General features: G+C 43.8%; 2 annotated features.

The window, feature by feature from the left end:
- Positions 7,622–8,134: an enhancer, noted in NCBI's record as "OCT4-NANOG-H3K27ac hESC enhancer chr6:161713123-161713635 (GRCh37/hg19 assembly coordinates)". NCBI's record gives its function as "activates a minimal SCP1, AML or CMV promoter by ChIP-STARR-seq in primed H9 embryonic stem cells {active_cell/tissue: H9 hESC(primed)}" and the evidence as "EXISTENCE:reporter gene assay evidence [ECO:0000049][PMID:30033119]".
- Positions 18,886–20,085: an enhancer, noted in NCBI's record as "CDK7 strongly-dependent group 2 enhancer chr6:161724387-161725586 (GRCh37/hg19 assembly coordinates)". NCBI's record gives its function as "activates an origin of replication core promoter dependent on BRD2, BRD4, P300/CBP, MED14 and CDK7 cofactors, with strong dependence on CDK7, by STARR-seq in HCT116 cells {active_cell/tissue: HCT116}" and the evidence as "EXISTENCE:reporter gene assay evidence [ECO:0000049][PMID:35650434]".

Consider the following 26,787-nt stretch of genomic DNA (forward strand, 5'->3'; position numbering starts at 1 on the left):
ATCTGTTTGGACGCCTTTCCTTATTATAACAATACGTCATATAATTTAGTATTCTTTTTAACAGTAAAAAGTATATTTTATCAAGCCTTTGATACTTGATACTTGAGATGAAGGCTCACTGCAGTCTCAAACTCCTGAGTTCAAGCAATCCTCCCACCTCAGCCTCCCGAGTAGTTGGGACAACAGGCACACGCCACCACGCCCAGCTAACCATACCTGGCTAATTCTTCTAGTTTTTTTTGTTTTTTTGTTTTTATTTTTTTGTAGAGACAAGATCTTGCTATTTTGCCCAGGCTGTTCTCAAACCCCTGGGCTCAATCGATCCCCCCACCTCTGCCTCCCAAAGTGCTAGAATTACAGGCATGAGTCACTACACCTGGCCTGAATTTCCTTCTTTCTTGGGACAATTGTTACATTGTTTTCTTAGAACCCAGCATCTAGGAAATGGGAAGATGTTTGTCTAAATGCATAAACTCAGTTAAAAAATGAATAAGTTCTGAAGACCTGACGTACAGCATGGTGACTACAGTTAATAATGCATTCTATACTTGAAATTTGCTGAGAGTAGACCTTAAGCGTTCTCACCACAAAAATAGGAATTATGTGAGATGATGGATATATTAACTAACTTGGTTGTGGTAAGCATTTTACAATGTATTCATATATCAAATTCTTTTTTGTCAATTATGCCTCAATAAAGCTGAAAAACAACACAAAAACCCAGCAGTCAGCTTAAATCCCAAAGAATTAAATCCCAAAGAATGAGAGTCTCTGCAGTTTATTGTATACTCACCCTGTTCCGGGAAGAACAAATAGAAACATATGCTAAGTATATCGCATACGTATTTCATTTGTTTTTGTGTTTCACAAAGCTATGCTTTGATATAGCATCACTGATTTATGGAAGAGGAAACTGAGGCTCAGAGAGGTTGAGAACTTCCTTCAAGGAGAAGCAGAACTGGACCTAACTCCAGGGCAGTTAGGCCCTAACCCTAAGAAGTTCTCAGAGAGGCTGAGAATTCCTACAATGGTAAGTAGACCTGGACCTAACACCGGGGAAGTTAGACTGTAAAGCCTGTTACCTCGGGCACCATGTTCCCTTCCCTGCTCCACCTTCTCACTAAGTAGATTCAGGGGTTTGTCTCCCTTGCATTTTCTTTTTTGTCCAGATGCACAAGTCACTTTAGCAAGCAATCTTGATAATTTCCTCTCTTATTTCATCCCCCAAAACATGACATTCCAAGGATCCTCCAGAACTAAAACTGACAACTTCAGAAAATACCTGTGATGGTCAGGCATAGGGGCTCATGCCTGTAATCTCAGCACTTTGGGAGTCTGAGGTGGGCGGATCACTTGAGGTCAGGAGTTCGAGACCAGCCTGGCCAACATGGGAAAACCCTGTCTCTACTAAAAATACAAAAAAATTACCAGGGCACGGTCATGTGTACCTGCTACTCGGGAGTAGTTCCAGCTACTTGGGAGACTGAGGCAGGGGAATTGCTTGAAGCTGGGAGGTGGAAGTTGCAGTGAGCCGAGATCGCAGCACTGCATTCCAGCCTGGGGGACAGAGCAAGACCCTGTCTCAAAATAAATAAATAAATAAATAAATTAAAAAGAAAGAAAATACCTGTGGTGAGCCAAGTAACCATGCTTGTAGCCCCAGTCGCAGCAAGATTGATTTCAGTGTATTCTGTTGGTGCCTGTGGCTCCCCATGGGTGCCTTGGCTTCTTACATGTGAATATAGAGCCACAAATCCCAAGAACAAATAGCTGTGACACTGATGATTGGCCTAGAGAAGGCTTGTCTCTGGAAAAGGCTGAGGTGGCTCAGTGGTGAGATGTCACTCTTTCCTGGGGAGTCCACCTAGCTGGAGGTACAGGGCAACCCCTCTTCCAGCTGCATTTAACTGTGAGGGACGGAGGAGGCTGGTGGGGAGAAGAGTCAATGGTTAACTTCTACGAAAGATTTCACCCAGTGCCCAGGAAGGAGCAGGTGTTTCCTGCAAGCAGTTAGTTTGCACAAGCCTCATTCATTCATTCATTCATTCATTCCACACACATGTGCCTGCTGGGAGGCAGGCCCTCTTCCGGGAGCCTGGCATTCTTCAGGGAACCCAACAAAGATTCTGGGCATTATGGACTTTCCTTTCTAGTGAGAAGAGACTGAAAACAAAGGACAATTATAATGAAGAAATTGCCTAATAAGTTAGACATTGTTATTTATGGAAGAATGAAAAAGAGTTGGGAAGGAGTATCAGAGTCCTGGGAGGTGAGCAGTTTGGAAGGTGAATAGGTCAGTGATGAGGTCAGCGCCGGCCTCACTGAGGTGAGGTTTGAGCAGCGATTTGGGGGCAGACAGGAGCTATCTCCATGATGCACACCGGAGCCAAGAGCATTCCGGGAGGAAGGAAGGAGCCAGGGCCACAGCTCCGCAGCAGGAGCATGCTGGCTGGTGGGAGCACCCAGGAGGCTGCGGGAGAGGGAGTGGTCTGGAGGAAGAGTGGAAGAGTTAAGGTTCCAGAGACCACAGAGTCACAGGGGCTTTGCAGGATGGGGCAAGGACCTTGGGCTTTTACACTGAGTAACATGGGGACCTGCTGCAGGGCGATGGGCTGAAAAGTGACATGGCATGAGAAAGTTTTCAAAGAGTCATTCTGGCTGGCATGTTGAGAAAAAAACCATGTGAGGCACAGGACAATGCAGGGAAAGGAATGGGAGGTGGTTGCAGTGACCAGCAAGAGGCACTATTAGTGTAGCCCAGGAGGACCAAGGACCTCCTGGCAGACTGGATATGGGGTGTGAGAAGAACAGAGTCAAGGCTGAGTGCAAGGCTTGTGGGTGAGCAGCTGGGGGGACGAGACTACCTGTGAGAACGGCAAGGAATTGGGGGGAAAAATGAGTGTTGTTTTTGACATGTTCAGGTTGAGACACCTATTCATTACCCAAGTGGCGATGTGCTGGAGGCAGCAGGAGTCTGCAGTTCAGGAGAGAGACCTAGGCTAGAGATAAACATTTTCAGAAGAGTCACCATAGATGGTATCACCTTGAAACTGAAATCATGGCAGGATTACCTGATGAAACCCAGCATGCCCAGAGACATTTGGACTCAGACAAATAGTCAATACTCTTTAGCATAAGTATGTCTTGTGCAATTTTTACTTATTAACTAAGTAAATATTTGGGGCCATGCAATATTTGGGACATGCTTATGCCATAAAACTCTTTGTCGTTGATCTGAAATTCGATGTCACTATGAATAGGAGGGCTGGATTTTTATTTCGGATGCTGGCAGTGCTGCCTTGGGACAGAGAGCAGGCAGGGCAGGGGTCTGAGGATGGAAACCCGGGCTCTGCAGCACTCAGAGGAGGGAGAAGAGAAGGAACAAATGAAGGAGTCTGAGTGATGAATGAGGCAGAGAAAATGATCCTAGAGTAGGGCATCTTGGATCCCTGGGTTGGGGGTAAAGAGCGTTACAGAGGAGGCAGTGATCTGCAGGCCTCCAGTCAGACAAGGACTGGAGTTAACTGTCCGATTTGGCAATGGGGAAACCATTGGCCACCCTGACAAGGCAGTTGCCTCCCAATAGCCTGAGCATTTTGGGAGCTCTGTGTTTGCTGCAGCAGGGGCCCGCAATACTCTGAATTAGTTCATCCACACTCAATTGGTAAAAGCATTCAAGGTGAGTTTCACCTTTGTGCTCACTGTAGAATCTTTTTTTTTTTTTTTTTTTTTTTTCCAGATAGAGTCTCACTCTGTCACCCAGGCTGGAGTACAGCGGTGCAATCTTGGCTCAGTGCAACCTCCACCTCCCAGGTTCTAGCAATTCTCCTTCCTGAGCCTCCTGAGTAGCTGGGACTACAGGTACATGCTGCCACGCCCAGCTAATTTTTTTGTATTTTAGTAGAGACGGGGTTTCACCATGTTGGCCAGGCTGGTCTCAAACTCCTGAGCTCAGGCAATCCACCTGCCTCGGTCTCCAAAGTGCTAGGATTACAGGCGTGAGCCACTGCACCTGGCTTTTTTTTTTTGAGACAGAGTCTCACTCTGTCACCCAGGATGGTGTGTAGTGGCACAATCTTGGCTCACTGCAACCTCTGCCTCCTGAGTTCAAGCGATTCTCCTCCCTCAGCCTCCTGAGTAGCTGGGATTACAGGCACAAGCCACCACCCCGGCTAATTTTTGTATTTTTAGTAGAGACGGATTTTGTCATGTTGGCCAGGCTGGTCTTGAACTCCTGACCTCAGGTGATCCGCCCACCTCGGCCTCCCAAAGTGCTGAGATTACAGGTGTGAGCCACCGTGCCCCACCTGAATCTTTCCATCTTGAAGAGGCCCTAGGGGAACACAATCAGTGGATTTTTCAATGGATTCACCACTAGCATCCTTCAGAAAAGGGCAGCCTTGCATATGGGTGAGGAATTGAGTAGATAAATGGTAAAGTGCACTGATAAAAATAGGGAACTGGCCGTGCGAGGTGGCTCACACCTGTAATTTCAGCCCTTTGGGAGGCCAAGGTGGATGCATCACTTGAGGTCAGGAGTTCAAGGCCAGCCTGGCCAACATGGTGAAACTGCGTCTCTACTAAAAGTACAAAAATTAGCTGGGCATAATGGCACATGCCTGTAATCCCAGCTACTCAGGAGGCTGAGGCAGGAGAATCGCTTGAAGTTGCAGTGACCCGAGATTGCACCATTACACTCCAGCCTGGGTGACACAGCAAGACTACAAAAAAAAAAAAATTAGGAAACTGACTGACGATAAAACTGGAGGAGTTTCCCACAGGGAGCAGCAGAAGTGAGGCCCATCTGGAAACTGGAGTTTGCAAGAGCAGCAGGAGCTGGAGGTGCCCACCACCTACAACACACCAGAGCCACCTTCCAAAGCTCAAATCCCACATCTATTTTTCTGGAAAAAGTAAGCATTGTTGGTACCACTTGAATCTTCTACTTCTTTTAAAATATAGTTGTTTCCGGCCAGGCGCAGTGGCTCACGCCTGTAATCCCAGCACTTTGGGAGGCTGAGGTGGGCAGATCACTTGAGATCAGGAGTTCAAGACCAGCCTGGCCAACATAGCGAAACCCCGTGTCTACTAAACGTACAAAAAAATTAGCCGGGCATGGTGGCATGCGCCTGTAAATCCAGCTACTCGGGAGGCTGGGGCAAGAGAATTGCTTGAACCTGGGAGGCGGGGGTTGCAGTGAGCCAAGCTCCCACCACTGCACTTCAGCCTGAGTGACGGAGTGAGACTCTGTCTCAAAAAAAAGAAAAGAAAGAAAAGAAAATTAGCCTGGGAGCACATATGTACACAACTGCAAATTATCTACTTGCCTTTAAAAAAAACGTTTACTCTCACAACGTTGTGACTACTATAGAATCCATGTACTTAATTAAGTCTAAATTCATTTGGTTATCATGAGTTATCCCCCTAAAAAACTCAATGACATAACTTTGAAAAATAATTTGCATAGAGCTCTATAAGCAAATTATTACACGACTATTTATGAAAGCGTTTTGTGTATTGCACATTTAATCAGAAAGGGGTGTCTGGTTAACCGTGCTGCTGGTTCTTTAAAAAAATAATGTTTGGTCAAACACAGTGGCTCTCACCTGTAATCCCAGCACTTTCGGTGGCCAAGGCAGGAGCATCGCTTGAGCCCAGGAGTTTGACACCAGCCTGAGCAACATAGTGAGAGTCTGTCTCTACAAAATAAAATGTAATTAAAAATAATTATTATTGACTTAAATGGAAAATATTACATATTTATAAATTGTTTGTGAAAACTTACTTATTCTGGTACTGAAGCTAATGTGTCTAATGTATGCTTTCCAATGTTCTGTGATTTTTTTTGAAATAAGTATTATTTACTCTTTGTTATCTGCCTAATAGTAAAGTGGTGAGGCCCTATTCCACACATTCTGTGACTCAAACTTTTCGTTTCTATTAAAGCAGTGGCTATAAAACTTCAGAATACACTAGAATGTCCTGGAGGGTTTGTTAAATCACAGAGTTTCTGACTCTGTAAGTTGGCAGAGGGAATTCTGAGAATTTACCTTTCTAAGTTTCCAGGTGATGTACCTGGAGAATGACTGTATTAGAGCATATTTATTAAAAAGTTCCCCACACAGGGCCAGGTGCCGTAGCTCAAGCCTGTCATCACAGTACTTTGGGAGGCCAAGGCAGGAAGATCACTTGAGCCCAAGAGTTTGAGACCAGCCTGGGCAGCATAGGGACACCCCCATCTCTACAAAAACAAAAATAAAAAACTAGCCGGGCATGATGTTGCACACCTGTGGTCCCACCTACACAGGAGGCTGAGGCAGGAGGATCACTTGAACCAGGAGGTCGAGGCTACAGTGAGGCATGATTATGCCACTGACCTCCAGCCTGGGTGACAGTGAGAACCTGTCTCAAAAAAAAAAAAAAATTCCACACCCACAAATAAAGTTCCCCACACAGAACCATGCAGGGGCCATGAGGAACATCTGTCCCCATTTCCTGCTTTACGGATGAGAAAACCATGATGCAGATAACCATGATGAATAAATGTCAGCATCGCTCCAGGGTCCATGTCCAATCTCCCAGAATTCCAGAGGAGCTCATTGCCATTTCCATCCACTGACATTTCCCTCATATCTGTTCCAGGCAGAGAGGAACTAATTTTTCTTTTTAAATCTCTCTTAGTCAAAAGGGAACCTATTTTTAAATATGTTTAAATTATGCAAGTTTGTTCTTTCTTTTGATAATAGGCAGAAAGGAGTTTGAATCAGGGCTAGAAGAAAGAAATAGCCTTTGTAAATATCAAGGACTTTCACGTTTCTGGCTATCCTTCTTTGAACTGGAACCTCAGCCTTGCTTCTCCATCTGAATTAGATAAGCCACACCTTTGATGCCCATGGTCCTTTGGGAAGTTCCTCCCCACAGACCCCTGGGGAGGTGCCGTGAAAAAATCCTAGCCGCTCTCACACACGGCTGCTAATGTCTTGGCCTGTATGACTTTGTCCCTCTGATTAGAGGAAGGGGCTCACTCCTGTCACCAGGGAAGGCATTTGGCTGCTCCCTGAGCCCTCCCAGGACCACCAGAACTCTACAAACCTGCCCCAATCCCCACTGCCTGGCCCCCACCCAGGCACCCCTACTCAGGTCCTGGTGGCTTGGGGAACCCTGGGAGGTCCCCATGGACATGGGGCACTCATTTCCCCCATGCTGGGATATCCACCTATCTGGGGGGTTCTGCTGCCCCCAGTCAAGGTTCCACACAGGAGGCTGATGCAACAGGCAGTAGGTCTCCTTTGACACCCTCGAAAGAGCCTTTGCGAAAATTATAACTAAGGAAATTATGACAGTGAAAGAGATCAGACCTAATTGACTCCATCTTGTTTGCAACCGTTAAGCTGTCCCTGTTCATTCTTGGGCATAGGCCGAACTAACTTTGGGAAGGAATTCAGTTCATGGCTTGACTCTGAAACAAAACAGATAACGGCCCTTTCCTGAAAAGACCACCTTTTATCTGGGGACCAGTGTGTCTTTGCAGGACTAACAAATGAGTTACAATATTAGAAATTATGGTTTAGGGGTCATGTAACCTCTGGCTCCAAGAGCCTGAACCTCCCCAAATTGTTCTTGGGGATAACATCATTATTGCAAAACCTAAGGTCACTGCTTGAGATATTTTGTGGACCCTACACTGGATGGATCAACTAACATCACCCAGTCCTGTAATCTGAACCAGCTCTGCCATCGCACCCAGGAACAGAAGACAGTAAGGAAACCTCACTTCGACCTCTCGTGATTCCATCTGCAACCTGACCAGTCAGCACTCCCCACTTCCTAAGCTCCTACCCACCAAATTGTCTTTAAAAACTCTGATCCTGGAATGCTCAGGGAGACTGATTTGCATATCAATAAAACTCTGGTCTCCTGCACAGCAGGCTCTGCGTGAATGACTTTCTCCATTACAATTCTCCTGTCTTGATAAATCGGTTCTGGGCAGTGGGCAAGGTGAACCCATTTGGCAGTTACAATTTTGGGGGCTCATTTGGGATTGCCCGTGGCTGCCCATGGTTTGGTAGCCCCCCTCTGGCAATGGATCCAGAGGCCAGCCCAAGCAGGTACCTAGTTCTCTTGAACTGGGGGCTGACTCTGGAACCGGCCTCTACCAGCGGAGCACTGCTGACCCAATGAACATGGATTTAACTGTAATGGAAAAATAATTCTGGGGAAACATCCCATAACTGTAGCCCTATCACAGGGTGTCTGTCTGTAGCCGCATGGTGGGGTGTCTGATTTGGTGAGTATCCTCGGTGCTGCCAACAGCCTCTTCCTTCTCCTGATTTATTGGCGTCTCTGGAGGTGCTGCTGTCTCTTGGTAGCCTCTCAGGGTGTCTGTCTGTAGCCCTATTATGGGGTGTCTAATTGGACAGAGAATAGGATACTTGTTTGAAGGAATACTCTTGGTTTGAGACTGGGTCTAGAATCTGTGTCGTGAAGGTCTTCTGTTCATCTTACTCTGTGCGTATGTGTGTTTATACGTGCAGAGGAATTGCTGATGGACGTCCAGCAGGCCTAACTCAGGGAGGCTGTCTGTTCTTCTGTGCTGCCTAAAGACGTCACTGGGTCCCTGGCCAAAGGTTATCTCTCCTCCCTGTGAGAGAACTGCAGACAAGGACCAAGAGGAGAAAGTTTGAGCCTTGCCAGGTCGATACTGGGTGCCGAATGAGGTGAATAGTGTCTGTTTTGTTATGTGTATTTTGCCTGTTTTGTGTACTTTGTGTAGTTATTTTAATGTATTTATTATGTATATTTTGTTAGTGTATTTTGTTACATGTCTTTTACTGGGATGGAAAATGTTAATTTGATTCCCCATAGCCTGCTGGGCAGCATCTTCCAAAATTAAGAATCTTTTGCCTATGGTTCCATAAAACAGAAAAGGGTGAATTTTTTTTTTTTTTTTTTGGTTAAGTGGCTCGATCCCCAGAGCTAAGACACAGGGAACAAGGTAATCAAAAGCCGCTTTGTTCTTCTGGAAGCTGCAGAGAAAGGGAACCTGGAAACCTAGTGTGCTTGCAAAAAGGGTAAGAATGTTTTACTAGCCAAGTTTCTGGTAACCTTCTCTCTCTCTCTGCGTGTGTATGTGTGTGTATTTGAGTGCAAATGGTAAACATCACTGTTTGTCTCCTCTGAAAAGATTTGATTAATAGAAAAAAAGGATCTGTGGGACTAGTCTTGGAGTATAACAAACCTGGTATACTTTGTGCTAAGAATTTGCCTTTCTGTATTGTTCTGTAATGGAGAGAGGGTTATCACAAGATAAAATGTGAGCGTAGAACCCCTATAAGCCTGCTTTTCAAGCCAGCCTGGCAGGCTGGTCAGTTACAAACTTTACTGAGGGTCCCTGAAACCAAAACCAGATGAAGTTTCTCTTTATGTCCTTGAGAGCTTAACCTTGTGACCATGTGGGGATACCTTAGTCTCTGCCATCCAGAGGACTGGAATTTTGGGTTCATGTCATAGTTAGCCCTAAAAATCATCTTGAACAGTTAAAAGCCTTTGCAAGCTTGAAATGGACTCCTCTAGACTCCTTCTGGAGTGAACAATGAAACCCACTCAATTCTGTAGCTCAGTAGCCAAAGCTTTGTCTACTGACAGTGCTCAGATTCAAATCTTGGCTTAGAGAATGACTCCTTTCTGGTTTCTCATTTGTGTAACTTTTTGCCATTTATTGATTATTTTCCCACCATGGATAGCTTTTGATTTCCTGTCTTGAATTTTCCTTTGTCTGAACTACCTGTGGGAAGATTCTCAAACTTATTTAAAAAAAAAAAAAGAAAAGAAAAGAAAAGAAACTGCTTACTATCTCTTTGGGAGACCTTATGTGTCCCTGGTTAGGTAATAACCTAATATTTAAAATTTACTAATTTTGGCCCGGTGCAGTGGCTCACGCCTGTAATCCCAGCACTTTGGGAGGCTGAGGCGGCAGGGTCACAAGGTCAGGAGTTCAAGACCAGCCTGAACAACATGGTGAAAACCCGTCTCTACTAAAAATACAAAAATTAGCTGGGCGTGGTGGCTTGTGCCTGTAATCCCAGCTACTTGGGAGGCTGAGGCAGGAGAATCGCTTGAGCCCGGGAGGCAGAGGTTGCAGTGAGCTGAGATCGCGCCACTGCACTCCAGCCTGGGCAACACAGTGAGACTCTGTCTCAAAAAACAAACAAACAAACAAAAAAAACTTACTAATTTCACATAAGAGGTTACCTGCAGTAAAGTTCAGAAGCCAGAAATATTGTCTGTCCTGACTAGAGTCTGATCATAAGAAATTTAAAAAAAAAATTAAAAGAGCTCTATGGTTAAAATCAGCTTAATTAAAAACAGATATCCAAGCACTCTCTCTCTATATTTTTTTAAAGGGCTTTATTTTTTTTTCTCAGATCTTGGTTGTTTTTAAGAAAAAATTTTTATTTGTTTGTTTTTCTTCTCAGTCAACTGAATTATTTCTCCATTTTGCCCTCTTGCTAACCTTGATGCCCACACAAGAAAACCTAAGATAATTTCTAACAACTTCCATTATGGAAAAAACAAAATACAAACAAAAAAACCCTCTGTTTTCCTCATGGAACCCTGGAAGTTGGAAGCAGATAAATTTCTCTCAAAATCTAAGGCTTTGGTTGGTTTGACATTATGTTACCTAACATTTTTTTTTCTGTGACTTTTGGGAGCATCAGCAATTTCTTTACATTATGGGAGAAGTTTTAGCCTTGGTGTGTAATGGCATTTCCCTCTTTTTTAGGATCTGGGATACAATATAAACATGGGACCCTTAACTGTAGGGATTTGTTTTTTCCCTTCCAGCTGTGCCTACTTATTATCCCCTAAAAACTACAGGCTCTCCTGACCCCGTCTGTTGAAGGGCTCCACCCTGAAACCAGTAATCCAATTAAGAAACTTTAAGGAATTGGCAAGTGAAAAAAATCTTACAACTACTGGATCTTCTGTCTGTATTTATATGTGTTGTGTATGTATTGTTTATATAAAAGAGCTCTAATTAATTGGCTTAAAGAAATAAACACTTAAATATTTTGTCAGGAAAATTAAAACTAATGCCTTTTAGTTCACATGACTTTAACAATCTTTCAGAAATAAAGACAGTTTTAAAGGTTATTGGTAAAATATAAACGTCTTCAAAATTTAGACATTTGGTCTAAATTAGGTCAGATATTAAGTTTACTAAATGCTTTAAGGTCATAAACTGTTTCTTTGACTTTTGAAAATTATTTAATTTATCTACCTTGAAGCCATTAAATTCTAGATAAGGCCTAGAGAAATGTAGAATTAACCATGCCCCCTAAATATACACAAAAAAAAGGGTTATAAAGAAAAGAGATTTTATATAAGAAAAGATCTTGTCTGGTAAATTCTTGTCCTAAAGTAAATTAACTGGCTATTTAAAAATAGAGATGTTTAGGGCAAGACAGAAAGTCCAAACATATCATAGATTGTCTGTGTAAGTTGTAAAAAGATTCGTGAAAGGGAATTTATACAAGAAATGTTGTACAATTCAAAGGTTGTTAGGCCTCCTAAATGCTTCATAAAATACTTGATAAAATGCCACTATGACTCTTACTGTACAACTTGCCTACTTTACAACTAAATAAGGCCTGGGACATGTGAAATGAACTGTGCCCCCTAACTATACTGGAAAGAGTCAGACCTTCTGGTGTCCCACATCCATACCTGGTATATAATTATCACTTACTAACCAGGTTTTTTAACAAAAATAAAGTTACTAAGAGTTAACAGTGTTAACACGTATTTGAGACTACTGAATAAAGACTTCTACACACAAGGTGTGTAAGGAAAGTAGAATGTACTTTTGGTATAAAAAAATTATAAAAAGATCTGGGAATGTGGATTTCTTGCCTCAGTTTAGAGGCTTAAAGGATTGTTTTAAGCAGGATAGGAAAGATCTAAAGGTTTGAACAAGTTGTGGAAGGTTTATAAAAAATTAGTTGTAAAAGATTCTGTGTGTGAACATATTGACTAAAGTTAAAGTGACATTACTCAGTTCTCCCATAAATTGGACATTGGAATAAAAGCACAACAGAGTTTTCTGAGAACATTGTTCTGCAATAAAAAAATATAAAGGGTTATAAAAGGCTTATACAAATCTTACAGTCAAACTAATTAAAACTGGATACATTTATAGAATTTTATCAAAAACTAGCTTTAGCATTAAAGATGCACTAATACATCCATGAAATTTGTTTTTTTCTTTTGAAAAAGAGTTTTACATAATATTGAGAGACACTGAAAGATTTTTGTTTGCCTTTTAAGAAAACTACAAAAATAAGGGGAGGGGAGGGAAGAGAGAAGAGGAGAGAAAACTGGCCTCAAACTATATTCACTGGGACTTGTTTAGAAAGCCAAGTCTCCTCTTCATCAGAATAAAGGTTTTTTTTTCCTTTTTAAAATTTTTGAGTTATCACTTTGGCTAAATAAATGACTTACGGTAACCTAGAATTCTATTTTGTAATCTCCAGTGTTTTAAATCTTTGATATTTAACCAACCTCCCAAAATCAAACTTAAGTAAAAAACAAGAAAAAAAAATTAGGTCCCCTGAAGTCCAAAAAAGACATATTTGACTTACTTAATGTATTAAAATCATACAGGAAACGTAAAATATAAAATGGTGTTTAATTTTCTTTGGTTTATTTGCATATAAATTTGTTATTAGTATGTGTATACATAATTACATAAGATTTCTATAATTCTGATATGCCTCAGTATATGTCATCAGTAATAACTATAATTGTTATGTTAAATTATTGTGTGTCACAGAGGTAACAAATTTCTCTGTTAATTGTGTCTTTGACTGTGGCTTCCCTAAAACTTTGTTGTCATCCACAGAAAATTGTTGTCTGGATTTGGTCCTCTTTAAAAGTTGGTTTTATGATCAACTATAAAACTCTGACAAGTGCTCTTAAGTACAAATTTCTGATAACTTTAAAGATTATTACATTAGAGTAAAGGAAAAAAGCCTTTCAAGGCTCTCATAGAGAACTAAAATATTAATGAATATCAAACAGAATAAGAATTACCTAAATGGACTGAACTAATAGAAAACTGAAGTAATCTTTTTTAACTTTTTTTGCTTAAAACAATGCTGATCCTTTTCATTTTTCAGATCCAAGGAAACCTTTCTTTTGAACTATTTCCAACTTCTAACAATTGAATAAAATATACTCCTGTGAAAAAAATTTAGAACATACATTTTTTCTCTCTACCTAATTTCTCCACAATTTAAAAATTTTGTGAGCATTCTTTACTTATGACAATATGGTTATTTACATAAGTACAATAAGAATATTTTCTTTTACAACATAACACAATTAGAGAAACTGGTTATTTCACCAAGACTGACTAGAATGACATACTTTCCTTTAAAGAATCAAACTTGACTTGTAGAACCAATAAAAACCCCTTGAGAAAACTGGCCTCATACCTTGTCCACACAGTCCCTATACAGTGTTCCTGACCTGTGATAAATAAAGAATGTCACTTTCTAACAGGCCCAGGTGCCCTATGGTATCTTGGGACCTCAAGAGAAGAGGAATTTACCCAACTCATAGGTACTTGAGGCTACAAACCCATGACAGGACTTGGCTTTAAAAAGTCTTATCTGAGATTCCTTATGGAACAGAGTTCCATCAAAGCAAAATTTAAAAGCCTATGTAAAAAATAACTATTCTTACTGCACTTCATACAAATAATCAGACCAAGTATAATAAAACTAAAATTTATTCTACAAACAAGTCAATCCTATTATGATTTGTTAATAAAAATAAGGATTGGAAAGAGAAAAATTGTGTTCCAAAAACTATAGTACACCTGTTGTTGGTTGTTTTTGAGTTTTTATTTTTATTTTTCTTCAATTTAGACTTAATCCTAAATTATTTATAGACTACAAGTCTCCAAACTAATATTTTCAAATCTTTACTTTTAAAACTGAGAATTATACTCCTTATCCTATAACTCATTTTTTACCTTATAGTACATTGTCCACTTAAATCTGTGCTAAAACTATAGATGGGAATACTAACACTTTTGTCATAAAAGCCTTGGAGGCCGGGTGCAGTGGCTCACGCTTGTAATCCCAGCACTTTGGGAGGCTGAGGTGGGCGGATCACCTGAAGTCAAGAGTTCGAGACCAGGCTGACCAACATAGAGAAACCCTGTCTTTACTAAAAATAAAAAATTAGCTGGGCGTGTTGGTGCATGCCTGTAATCCCAGCTACTCGGGAGGCTGAGGCAGGAGAATTGCTTGAACCAAGGAGGCGGAGGTTGCAGTGAGCCAAGATCACGCCATTGCACTCCAGCCTAAGCAACAAGAGCAAAACTCCGTCTCAGAAAAAAAAAACCTTGGACTCCCAGCCCAGCCTATGTGAGTATGCTCAAAAAACTCAGACAACTACAAAGTGGTTCCACTCCTCTCACCTGGGAGTCAACTCCTACCCCCACTATGCCCCCTGTCAGGAGAAAGAAGCCAGAGTGATTGATGGCTGTTTCCCATCTGCATAGCCCACACCTTAAGAATAAGATGCTTTGAAACCCAAAGGGAGGGATTGAAACTGCTTTTGCAAAAATTATACCTAAGGAAAGTATGACAGTGAAAGAGATCAGAACTAATTGACTCCATCTTGCTTCTAACCTTTAAGCTGTCCTTTTTCATTCCTGGGCATAGGCCAAACTAACTTTGGGAAGAAATTCAGGTCATGGTTTGACTCTGAAACAAAACTGATAATAGCCCTTTCCTGAAAAGACCCCCTTCTTGTCTGGGGACTAGTCGGCCTTTGCAGGACTAACAAATTAGCTACAAGATTAGAAATTACAGTTTGGAGGTCATGCAACCTCTGGCTCCAAGAGTCTGAACCTCCCCAAATTGCTCCTGGGGATAACATCACTATTGTAGAACCTAATATCAGCGCTTGAGATATTTCGTAGACCATACACTGGATGGATCAACTACCACCACCTAGAATGGTAATCTGACTCAACTAGTTCTGCCATCCCACCCAGGAACAGAAGACAGCAAGAAAATCTCATTTCAATCCCGCTATGATTCCATTTCCAACCTGACCAACAGCACTCCCCACTTCCCAAGCTCCTACCTGCCAAATTATCTTTAAAAACTCCAATCCCCAAATGCTTGGGGAGAGTAATTTGAGTAATAATAAAACTCTGGTCTCCCACACAGCTGGTTCTGCATGAATTACTCTTTCTCCATTATAATTGTATTGTCTTGATAAATCAGCTCTGTCTGGGCAGCTGGCAAGGTGAACACATTTTCTCCCCAGTCTAGAGAGCGAAAACAGGATCTTACATTATCACGAATTTTCTAAACTCTTTTATGACATAAACTCAGCTCTGGAAATCCTGTATCTCTTTCTCTTAAACTATTATCTTGGCTTATTTTGAAAGTCAGAAGCTAACCCAGCATGATTCACAATAGCCAAAATATGGAAACTACCCAAACATCTATCAAGAGATGAATGGATAAACAAAATGTGGCATAGCCATACAATTTAATGTTATTTGGAAATAGAAATAAGTACTGACGCATGCTACGACATGGATAAAGCATGAAAACATCATGCTGCATGAAATCAGCCAGACACAAAAGGACAAATATTGTATGAATCCATTTATATGGGCCTAGAATAGGCAAAGTCATAGAGACTGTGTGATAGAGGTTACCAGGGGCTGGAGACAGTGGGTACGGGAAGTTATTATTTAATGGTGTTTTAGTTTGCTATGGCTACTATAATAAAATACCAAAACCTGGCTAGCTTAAATAAAAATAGTTCAATAAAAATAGTTAAAATGGTAAAATGCATTTTCTCATAATTCTGGAGAACAGAAGTCCGATATCAAGATGCTAGCAGGGTTGGATTTCTCTCTCCTTGGCTTGCAGATGGCTGTCTTCTCCCTGTGTCTTCACATGGTCTTTCCTCTGTGCCTGGCTGTGGCTGTGTCCAAATCTCCTGGTTTATTTATTTATTTATTTATTTATTCATTCTTGAGACGGAGTCTCGCTCTGTCGCCCAGGCTGGAGTGAAGTGGCGCGATCTTGGCTCACTGCAACCCCGCCTCCCAGGTTCAAGCAATTTTTCTGCCTCAGCTTCCCGAGTAGCTGAGACTACAGGCATGTACCACCACAATTTTTGTATTTTTAGTAGAGATGGGGTTTCATCATGTTGGCCAGGCTGGTCTTGAACTCCTGACTCAAGTGATCTGCCCACCTCGGCCTCCCAAAGTGCTGGGATTACAGGCATAAGCCACTGCGACTGGCCCAAATCTTCTGTTATTATAAGGATACCAGCCATATGAAATTAAGGCCCACCCCAATGACTTTGTTTTGACCTCTTGGAAGACCATGTCTCCAAATACAATTACATTCTGTGGTACTGGGGTATAGGACTTCAACATAGAAATTTTGAAGACACAGAGCAGCCAATAGCAAATGAGGACAGAGTTTCTGTCTGGGATCATGAAAAAGTTCTGAAAGGGAATAGCTGTGATTGTGCAACATTGTGAATGTACTTAATGCCACTGAATTGTACACTTAAAAATAGTTAAAATGATAAATTTTATGTTATGTTTTACCAGATTTTTTTTCAAAGAAAAAATCAAAAGCTAAGCAACATCTCTTTTGGTCTCTTGATGTGTGGAAAGTCTTAGCTTCCTGGGCTGGAGGGAAGCCCAAGGGTGAAGGGGGAACACAAAGCTGTCTTTGGTATCTCAGTGTTGACGGCCGTCATGTGCAGAAGAGCAGACTGTGTCCTTGTCAAAGCCCACGGATGTGCCAGTGCAAGAGCTACCACCTGGGGTGTCAGGCATGGAGAGGGTGGGACTTCAAGTTTGGAAACAGCACATGCCCAATGCATGAAGCTGCACAGCCTGCTCCTGAAGCTATGGCCAGCAGGAAAAGACAGGAACCCTCGCATGCTCAGGCCAGGACTTAAGTGGCTGGATTCCAGTCCTGTTCTGCCAGCAACATATTTCATAACCTCTCCATCGGGCAAGTCCCTTCTCTAAGAACTGAGGACTAAACTCTGAGGTTTTTTATCTTGCCCACATTCCTATCTAAGTGGTCTGGGGAGTCATGCCTTACAAACCATAAAGTCTCATCAGATGGATTTTATTTAAATCCATACATCATGGCTTACTTTCCAAAGTGACTCTGGCATTTAACATTACAAGACAATCAAAGAAAATAAAAATATTTTACCCCAAAGCATGTTTCTTTGCCATATCTTGAAATGGCCCTGCAAAACTGTCATTTGTGGGGGAAAATTTGCATCTGTAAAGAATCTCTATTAACATAGCTAGATGTTTTTCTTCCAGGCCCTCCCAATCCTAATGAGATTATTAAAAGTTTAGCACCTTTTAAAGGTCTGAATAGGAAACATTTGTCATCTATTGCCTCTAAGGGCAGCCACGATGATAAGACTTCAAAAGAACCTTGGTCTCCACAATCTTACAATCTTTTTTTTTTTTTGATGAAGTCTTGCTCTGCTGCCCAGGCTGGAGTGCAGTAGCACGATCTCGGCTCACTGTGACCTCTGCCTCCCAGGTTCAAGCAATTCTCCTGTCTCAGCCTCTGGGACTACAGGCACCTTCCACCACACCTGGCTAATTTTTTTGTATTTTAAGTAGAGGTGGGTTTTCACCATATTGGTCAGGCTGGTCTCGAACTCCTGACCTCAGGTGATCCACCCACCTTGGCCTCCCAAAGTGGTAGGATTATAGGCATGACCCACTGCGCCTAGCCAGTCTCTACAATCTTTTTTCTTAACCTGAACATTCCCTTTCTATTCATTCCAGGTCTTTACACAAACTCATCCAATTGTCAGCCAGAAAATGTTTAAATTCGCCTACAGTCTGGAAGGCCCCCCACCCCCAACTTTGAGTTGTCCCATCTTTCTGGACCAAACCAATGTATTTCTTAAATGTATTTGGTTGATGTCTCATACCTCCTTATAATGTATAAAACCAAGCTGTGCCCTGACCACCTTGCACACATGTTCTCAGGACCTCCTGAGGGCTGTGTCATGGGCCACGGTCACTCATATTTGGCACAGAATAAATATCTTTAAATATTTTACAGAACTTGACCCTTTTCGTTGACAGAACTTTAGTTTTCTCACCACCAAATGAAGGCACTGGACCAGATTATTTTTGTGTCTTCTCGAAACTCCAACATTCTATGAGTCTACCTAAAACATTAGCGTTCTGACAAATGTTAGTTGAATGAGTCAATGTAAACAGAAGGATTTGTGTCCCCCTTGAGAGAAAACTGGGGGAAGTCCTGGGACCCTTTTAGGGCAGGGAGGAGCTGGATGAACCTGGGCATCTGCCGCCCTCGCCAACAGGAGTTGTGGGAGTGCTCCCTTCCCCAGGAGGTCACAGAAAACAAGCATGTCCAGTGTGCCAGAGGATTCGGACTGAGAGAACTACTCTTTTCCTTTAAGTGTGATTGTTCATCTCAGGATAAAATGGGAAAGGAATGACCAAACCAACAGAACATAAGAAAGAAGAACTCGGAGTCCAGGAAAGTCCTGGTGAGTGAGGGTGGAGGAGACAGAACCGTGGAGAGAGGGGCATGTCCTCAGGAGAGACCAGGTCTCTCCCTCCTCTGGACTCTGCCCTGGGTTCTGCGGCTGTAGGTCAGGCGGGTAGGTATCTGTGGGTGTTGTGGTGGTGTTCTTGTCTATTTGGTGGGGGTGTGGATTGAAAAACAAAGACGTCATGTGGCTTTAGCTAAGAGGGAGGGAACAGAGATACAACCACTAAATCCCTTTCTTTTAATTTTGCAATAATTGCAATTTTTAAAGAATTTTAAGACAGATTCTTGGTATTTGGAAAGCACTGAGTTCTTAGGAAAGAAGGTGCCGACTGCATTGTAAATACCCAACTTCTGTTTTCTGGGAAAATCCAATTTTCTGAAAGAAAACTGGAATTAGATATGGCATGTCAACTTTAAGTGCTATTATACGCACAATTATAATATGTTCTTTTGGCCTCGAAACTCTCAACTTGAAAAGGCGCAATTTGCAATCTCCTTGTGCCCAGAAGGCTCTGAAGAAGAAACACAAGTGAGATAGGTACAGTTTGTGCTCATTGTGCACCAGGGGGGATGAGAAGCTCCACTAAAATCAATTTTCCCCTATCTGAACCTTTCATCTGGAAACAACAAAACAGTTTTCAGATTCCAATAACTTTGAAACATTTACACAATAGAGTACAGGCTTGCCTGTTCTCCTAACTAGCATATTCAGAACATAATTTAACCTTTTTCTTGTTGACTCACTATGAATCATCATTATGAATCAAAACTATAGAATTTTAGTACAAAAAGAGACCCTAGAGATCAGCTAGCTCTGATTTCTTCATATTCTAGATGCCCAAATGCTGGTGTGATTGGAACTGGGTGTGGGGAGCTGGTCTAGAACCCACGACTTCAATTCTTGTCCAGGCTGAGAAGGCCGTGTCCTGGGCCTGGCGCTCATGGCATGTTAACGGCGGTGGGGTGCCCCTGTGGTTGTGGGCGCCACCCAGGCCAGCTGCCCGCTGGCGAAATGGGCTTGGTCTCTTCCTGCTCCGCACACTTTGACATCAGCTCGTTGTGGCTCCCTGTCTCTGCTCTCCCGGGTGGCCAGTGACGCTGTGCGGGGTGCAGCGCCTGTGCTGTCTGCTTCTGAAGGTAATTCTCCCCTCCTCAGGGTACTCTGTACATTCTGCAGGCAGGGGCCTCCCAGGGTCTTTCCTCTAGGAACCCCGTCCGCTCTCAGACCTGCTGCCTCTGGGTCCAGGGCCCGGGTGGCTTTCTTTCCTCTTTACAGCCCCGTCTCCCACACTTTCTGCTCCACTTACAGGACTGGCTGCCAGGTGGGCCACTCAAACCAGAGACATTGATTTCTCAGATCTAGAGGTTTGAGGCCCAAGAGCAAGGTGTCATCAGGGTTGGTGTCTCTGTGGCTTGCAGACAGCTGTCATCTCCCTGTGTCCACATGGTCTTCCCCTGTACCTGTCTGTGTCCCAATCTCCTCCTCTTCAGGGGATACCAGTCATATTAGGCCCTATCCTAATGGCCTATTTGAACTCAATCAACTCTTTACAGACCCAAATACAGTAACTATATGTTAGGACTTCAACATACAAATTTGCAAGGGTCACACTTCTGCCCAAAACAGGCCCCTTTCACCTTTCAGCTTACCGCAGATCACTCTGAGGAAACACACTTTCAAGGTTCCAGAATTGTATAAAATTCTTACAGCTAAGAGCTCCGAATTATAGTTTTAGTCTTACTTGCAAGATGGTAAATGGAATGAGGAAGGATGGATGGAGTCACTCACTGACTCCATGAGGATTTTTTCACACATCATTGCAACACAGGCAGTGACTGACGCCACCACCTTTGCCCTGGAGGCTGGTTTCTGGGCCCTGCCGGTGCGGGACATAAAGGCCGGGTGGCTGCCTCTGGGCTGCAGAGCAGGAGGCACGGGAAAAGCTGGGGTTGGGGACATCCAGGAATGGCAGCCCTGGAGCCAGGACGCGGTTGGGGGCCTCCTGGGTTGGCAGTATCACTGGGGGTTTTAACCCCTTTCTAGTCCTGTGCCCTTCCGCTTAAGTGATAGTAGGCGAAGAAAAGGCCACGGAAAATACACTGGTCACCTGGGTACGAGGGAGTAATTAAAAACCAGCTGAGGCCGGGCGCGGCGGCTCACGCCTGTAACCGCAGCACTTTGGGAGGCCGAGGCGGGCGGATCACCTGAGGTCAGGAGTTCAAGACCAGCCTGGCCAACATGGCGAAACCCCATTCTACTAAAAATACAAAAATTATCTGGGCATGGTGGCGGGCACCTGTAGTCCCAGCTACTCAGGAGGCTGAGGCAGGAGAATCACTTGAACCCGGGAGGCAGAGGCTGCAGTGAGCCGAGATCACACCACTGCACTCCAGCCTGGGCAACAAGATAGAAACTCTGTCTTGAAATAAAATAAATAAAATAAAATGAAATAAAATAAAAACCAACTGAAAGCCAGGTGCAGGGGCTAATGCCTGTAATCCCAGCAGTCTGGGAGACTGAGGTGGGGGGACTGCGTGAGCCTAGGAGTTAGAGACCAGCCTAGGCAATACAGCAAGACTCCATCTCTTAAAAAAAAAAAAAAGTTAAAAATTAGCTGAGCATGGTGGCACATGCCTGTAGTCCTAGCTACTTAGAAGGCTAACTTGAGCCCAGGAGTTTGAAGGTGAAGAGAGCTATGATTATGCTACTGCACTCCAGCCTGGGCAGCAAATGAGACCCTGTCACTAAAAAGAATAAAATTAAAAAAAAATATAACTGAGCAAGTTTTTCTTCTCAACTATGTCTGAGGAGAACAAAAAGTTCTTTGTAGGTACAGTGGATTCAGAACTCGGCATCTGGTCCCACAAAACCAGATGTTCATCCAGCTGAGCCTAGGACCCTTGGGTGCCTGTCTCTCCATCCTTCCTAACACAGACCTCGGTGCCAGCCAGCCTGTCCTTCTCAGTGTCAGGGAGCTCCGTCCCGGCCCTTCCCACATCCTGCCCAGGACTGGCTGTGCAGGGAAGGTCACCCCTCAGTGTCTGCCCACTCTCTAAGCCCTGGACCCAAGCAGGGCACCCAGGCCAGCCCTCTTCCTTTACTCATTTTCTTATTCATCTTAAAAGGAATAACTGAGAAGCTGGAGACCAACCCTGCAGGCTGGATGTGCTGCTTGAGAACTAACAGCCCCCAAAGAGAGATCAAAGATGCCAGAGAAAAGGGGAATAAATAGAGCAACCTCCCAGAAGATGCATGAAGGATACAAGAACAGAGATGACAGAGGGGTTGGTTTTATCAGCGAAAAGAAATAATTCTTACTCAGCAAGAGAAGGAAACGGGAAGGAGAAAATGGAGGGGCTCAGTTTACTTAAGGATGTGGGCATTAGCAAGAGGTAAAGTCTAATAATTTTTACCACTAAAAGGGACCTTGAGGACCCCCTGACCCAGCTTTATATACAGCCAGGACTCAGAAAGAACAAGAGCAACAAGAGCGTATTGCCAGTTATACTGAGGCCTCACTGGAGCTTTAGGGCATGCATGTGGGGTGGAGCAAATCTACCAAAACAGAATTCTGGGGTTGGAAATCCAGATGGTAGCAGGGCAGAGGTTGGAGTTAAGTCGTCTGTGAGGGTCAAGGATGGGGGCATCATCTAGGACTGCCAGCTGAGGTGGCCCATAGATAGAAGGCATTAGAAGGCCAAGGAATGGCCAGGCATGGTGGCTCATGCCTGTAATCCCAGCACTTTGGGAGGCTGAGGCAGGCGGATCACAAGGTCAGGAGATCGAGACCATCCTGGCCAACGTGATGAAACCTTGTCTATACTAAACATACAAAAATTAGCTGGGCGTGGTGGTGCGTGCCTGTAGTCCCAGCTACTCGGGAGGCTGAGAGAGGAGACTTGCTTGAACCAGGGAGGCGGAGGTTGCAGTGAACCAGATGGTGCCTCTGCACTCCAGCCTGGTGACAGAGTGAGACTCTGCATCAAAAAAAAAAAAAAGAAGGCCAAAGAACCCTGAAGTTGAGGCATATATTAGTCAGGGTTCTGTAGAGGGACAGAACTAAACTAATAGGATAGATGTATACATGAAGGGGAGTTTATTAAAGAGAATTAACTCACGAGCACAAGGTGAAGTCCCACAGTAGGCTGTCTGCAAGCTGAGGGGCCAGGAAGCCAGTCGAGTCCCAAAACCTCAAAAGTAAGGAAGCCAACAATGCAGCCTTCAGTCTGTGGCCAAGGGCCTGAGAACCCCTGACAAACCACTGGCTTAAGTCCAAAAGTCCAAAAGCTGAAGGACTTGGAGTTTGATGTTCCAGGGCAGGAAGCATCCAGCACAGGAGAAAAACGGAGGCCAGAAGACTCAGCAAGTTAGCTCCTTCCACCTTCTGCCTGCTTTATTCTAGCTGTGCTGGCAGCTGATTAGATGGTGCCCATTTGGATTGAGGGTGGGTCCACCTCTCCCAGCCCATTGACTCAAATGTTAATTAATGTCCTTTGGCAACACCGTCACAGGCACACCCAGGAACAATACTTTGCATCCTTCAATCCAATCGAATTGACACTCAGTATTAACCATCACAAGGTGTCAGAAAGGTCAACTTGAGTGTGAACATCACTACGTGTGATCTGGCTGGCTGGTGGCATCCCATGCCATCTTCCATGGCCTTCTGCAAAGCCCTTCTGAGCCAAGACAAAGCAGGGGGTTTGGTCCATCTTCTTTCTGATTTATATTTATAAGCGTCCTCTCTGCTTTCTCCTTTACTAAATATCCATCCAAGTGCTGTTGGGCCATCCGCATCTGTGGTGCACCTCCAGCACGAAGGCCTGGCACAGGCTCAGGTGAGGGACTCTGCATAGCAGGGGCCCCTCTCCAGTCCTCCTTGGACTTGGCCAGGAGACCCTGTGATATGGCTCTGATGAGTGAAGGAACTCCAGGTTCTTCATCTCACGTCAAATTGGAAAAACCTACAGGGACACACAGGGAGTGGTTTTAAGGAGCGGAGACTTTAATAGGCAAGAAGGAAGGGAGAAGAAAGAAGGAAGAAGTTCCCCTGTTCAGAGACAGAGGGAGGTGGGCTCCAAAGCCTAGAGAGAAGACCCCACATGCTAGGTACAGGAAGAGGCTGGAGCAGGCGGTGTCTGATTTGCATAGGGCTCAGGGGATTGGTTTGACTAGGCATGTCATTCACATAGCCCGGGAAACAAACTGGCCCTCCCACCCTAGCTTTTAATATGCAAATGCAGGGCACCATGATGTTCTAGGCACGTGGGGATATGGGGGGCAGCCATGTTGCCAGGCAAATGCGAGGGCAAGGAGAAAAGGGAGGGAATCATCATGTTGGAGTGGAACCAGTTTCTAATGGCCTGCAATTGCATATCAAAGGTTGCCTGCCCGGCTCTAAATGCTGGGGCTTTCCTGTTAGACAAGAAAGGTTTGGGCCAGGTGCAGTGGCTCATGCCTGTAATCCCAGCACGATGGGAGGCGGAGACAGGTGGATCACCTGAGGTCAGGAATTCGAGACCAGCCTGGCCAACATGGAGAAACCCCGTCTCTACTAAAAATACAAAAAATTAGCCAGGCTTGGTGGTGGGCGCCTGTAATCCCAGCTACTCGGGAGGCTGGGGCAAGAGAATCGCTTGAACCCAGGAGGCGGAGGTTGCAGTGAGCAGAGATAGCCCACTGCACTCCAGCCTGGGCAATAAGAGCAAAACTCCATATATTAAAAAAAAAAAAGGAAAATAAATAAACATTTGAGGAGCTGCTTTAAAAGAGATGAAAAGTTTCCAAGGACCCCTTTTCCTATCTGCCTAAAATTATTTCTTAATAACTCCTACCACATTTGGACTCTTGGTCTTCTGAGGGCCTCCACTGTGGGCCAAAGAGTCTGCCTTGTGCCCACCCATGGCCCAGCCCAGTCCTCAGGAACCTGCTAAAACCTCTGGGCAGAAGCGGGGGCTCAGGCGAACCCAACCCATCTGCCACAGTCCCACCTTCTGGGAGTTGGGGTTTGTGGAGGCAGCTTACTCGTGCCCCACCAATGATTTCTGACCCTAAGATCTAGTCTTCTTCATCTTTTTATTAGAAAAAAATATTTGGTCTGTAGATTGTAAGCTCCTTGAGATGAGAGATGATATCTTTTCCTCTAATTTTATATTGTGAAAAATTTCAAAACAACACAAACAGGTGCATGATAAATACAACGAAAACCCCTAGACTCTTCGTCTAGGTTCACTGATTTTTAATATTTTGTAACATCTGCTATCTTTATTTTTTATTTTATTTATTTATTTATATTTTTTTGAGAGAGTTTTGCTCTTGTTGCCCAGGCTGGAGTGCAATGGTACGATCTTAGCTCACCCACAACCTCCACCTCCCAGGTTCAAGCAATTCTCCTGCCTCAGCCTCCTGAGTAGCTGGGATTACAGGCATGCACCACCATACCCGGGTAATTTTGTATTTTTAGTAGAGATGGGGTTTCTCTATGTTGGTCAGACTGGCCTCCAAGTCCTGTCCTCAGGTGATCTGCCCACTTCAGCCTCCCAAAATGCTGGGATTACAGGTGTTATAAATAAAGTTTTGGAGCCGCAAAAGAAATAGCACTCAAATATAAGATTTTCTTTTTAATTCTCAGCAAGGCAATGTACTTCTATAGAATGGTGCACCCTTACAGATGCAGCAATGGTGAGCGCACACTTGGACCAGGGAGGGGAAGGGGTTCTTATCCCTGACCCACGTGGCCCCTGCTGCTGTGTCATTCTCCTATTGGCTAGGGTTAGACTGCACAGGCTAAACTAATTCCGACTGGCTAATTTAAAGAGAGTGACGGGGTGAGTGGTTTGGCAGGAGAAATGGTTATGATACAGCAGGAAATTGAAATGACTCAGGGCAGAGAATGAGCAGGTAATCTGAACGAGTCAGGGTGGAGCAGGTAATCGGAATGAGTCAGGGTGCAGCAGGTAATCGAAAAAGTTTGCTTTATGAGGAGTTAAGTTTAAAAGTAGAAGACAAAGAGTTGAACATACTGACATATTGATTCTTTGAAGAGAAATTTAGAACTCATATCTAACAACCCCTCCTCTTGCATTTCCTTACAGTTCTTTCTCTTCAAACTTCTTTAATATGTCTTAGCTTAGTTGTTCTGCTTGATTTTCTAAAAGAAGAATCTTCTCTGGATAAGGTGGAGGATAGTGAAGGGAGGTTTCAGTAAGTGCCATTTTTATGAGCCTCTGCATCAACCCACGGATGCATGGTGTGACACAGCACCCGACAAGAATAAGTACACCCATTACTGCTGCAAGGGAAGTAAGAATTGAGACTATTATTCCACTCCATTTACAAAACCACTTTTCTAGCCATCCTGTAAAGGGGTCATTTACCCGTAAGTTGTTGGCTAACTCACTGGACAGAGCAGTCAGACCTTGCAATGCCTTTGTTATACTTCCATCAGGGGCGATGTTGTTTGGGATGAAGGTACAACATTGAGTTTTAATCATAATGCAAACTCCTCCTCTTTCTGCTAATACCATGTCTAAGGCTATCCTATTTTCCCAAGCCATCTGGCCTGTAGCCCCTAATGGCTCAGCTATTCCTTCAACAGCATCTCTAGTGTAGTTACTAAATCACTGTTGGTTGTAGTAGATGTAGTTTATCCAATCTACATTTTTATTAATTGTCACCCACCAAGATATTGACTCAAATCCTGCAGCTATTTGATTTCGGAATTCAAATTGATCTGGTATTCCCCGTGGGACTCCAGTTGCGTTTAAATAGACATGAGAGTCGAAAGACCCATAAGGGGCTTCTCTCGCATTATGATGTCTTATTTTTCCTTCCTCTAGTTGATGAAATGCCAGGGTGAAACGGATAGCCAATTGGACTAAAGCACAAGTGCCGCTCCAGTTATTCGGCAGAGTGTCCAGTAAAGGTCCACCAGAATACCACCACACATCCACTAGGGGATGAACAAGGGCTGACTGATTGATAAGTTCTTGAAAATTCTTAAGCTCACTGCATCCCCTCAGGTCTCCAAGGAATGCTGTTTCCTCCCTGTCGTGAGAGATATGAAGTTAACTTAGTGTTGGGAGACAGAAGCTGGATGGCCCTCAGGGGCTGGCCCATAGGATGCCGGACTTCGGGATATAGCAGAGAGAGAGCATGGCACAACTT

This window comes from Homo sapiens, chromosome 6 (assembly GCF_000001405.40).
Source record: "Homo sapiens chromosome 6, GRCh38.p14 Primary Assembly".
NCBI lineage: Eukaryota > Metazoa > Chordata > Mammalia > Primates > Hominidae > Homo > Homo sapiens.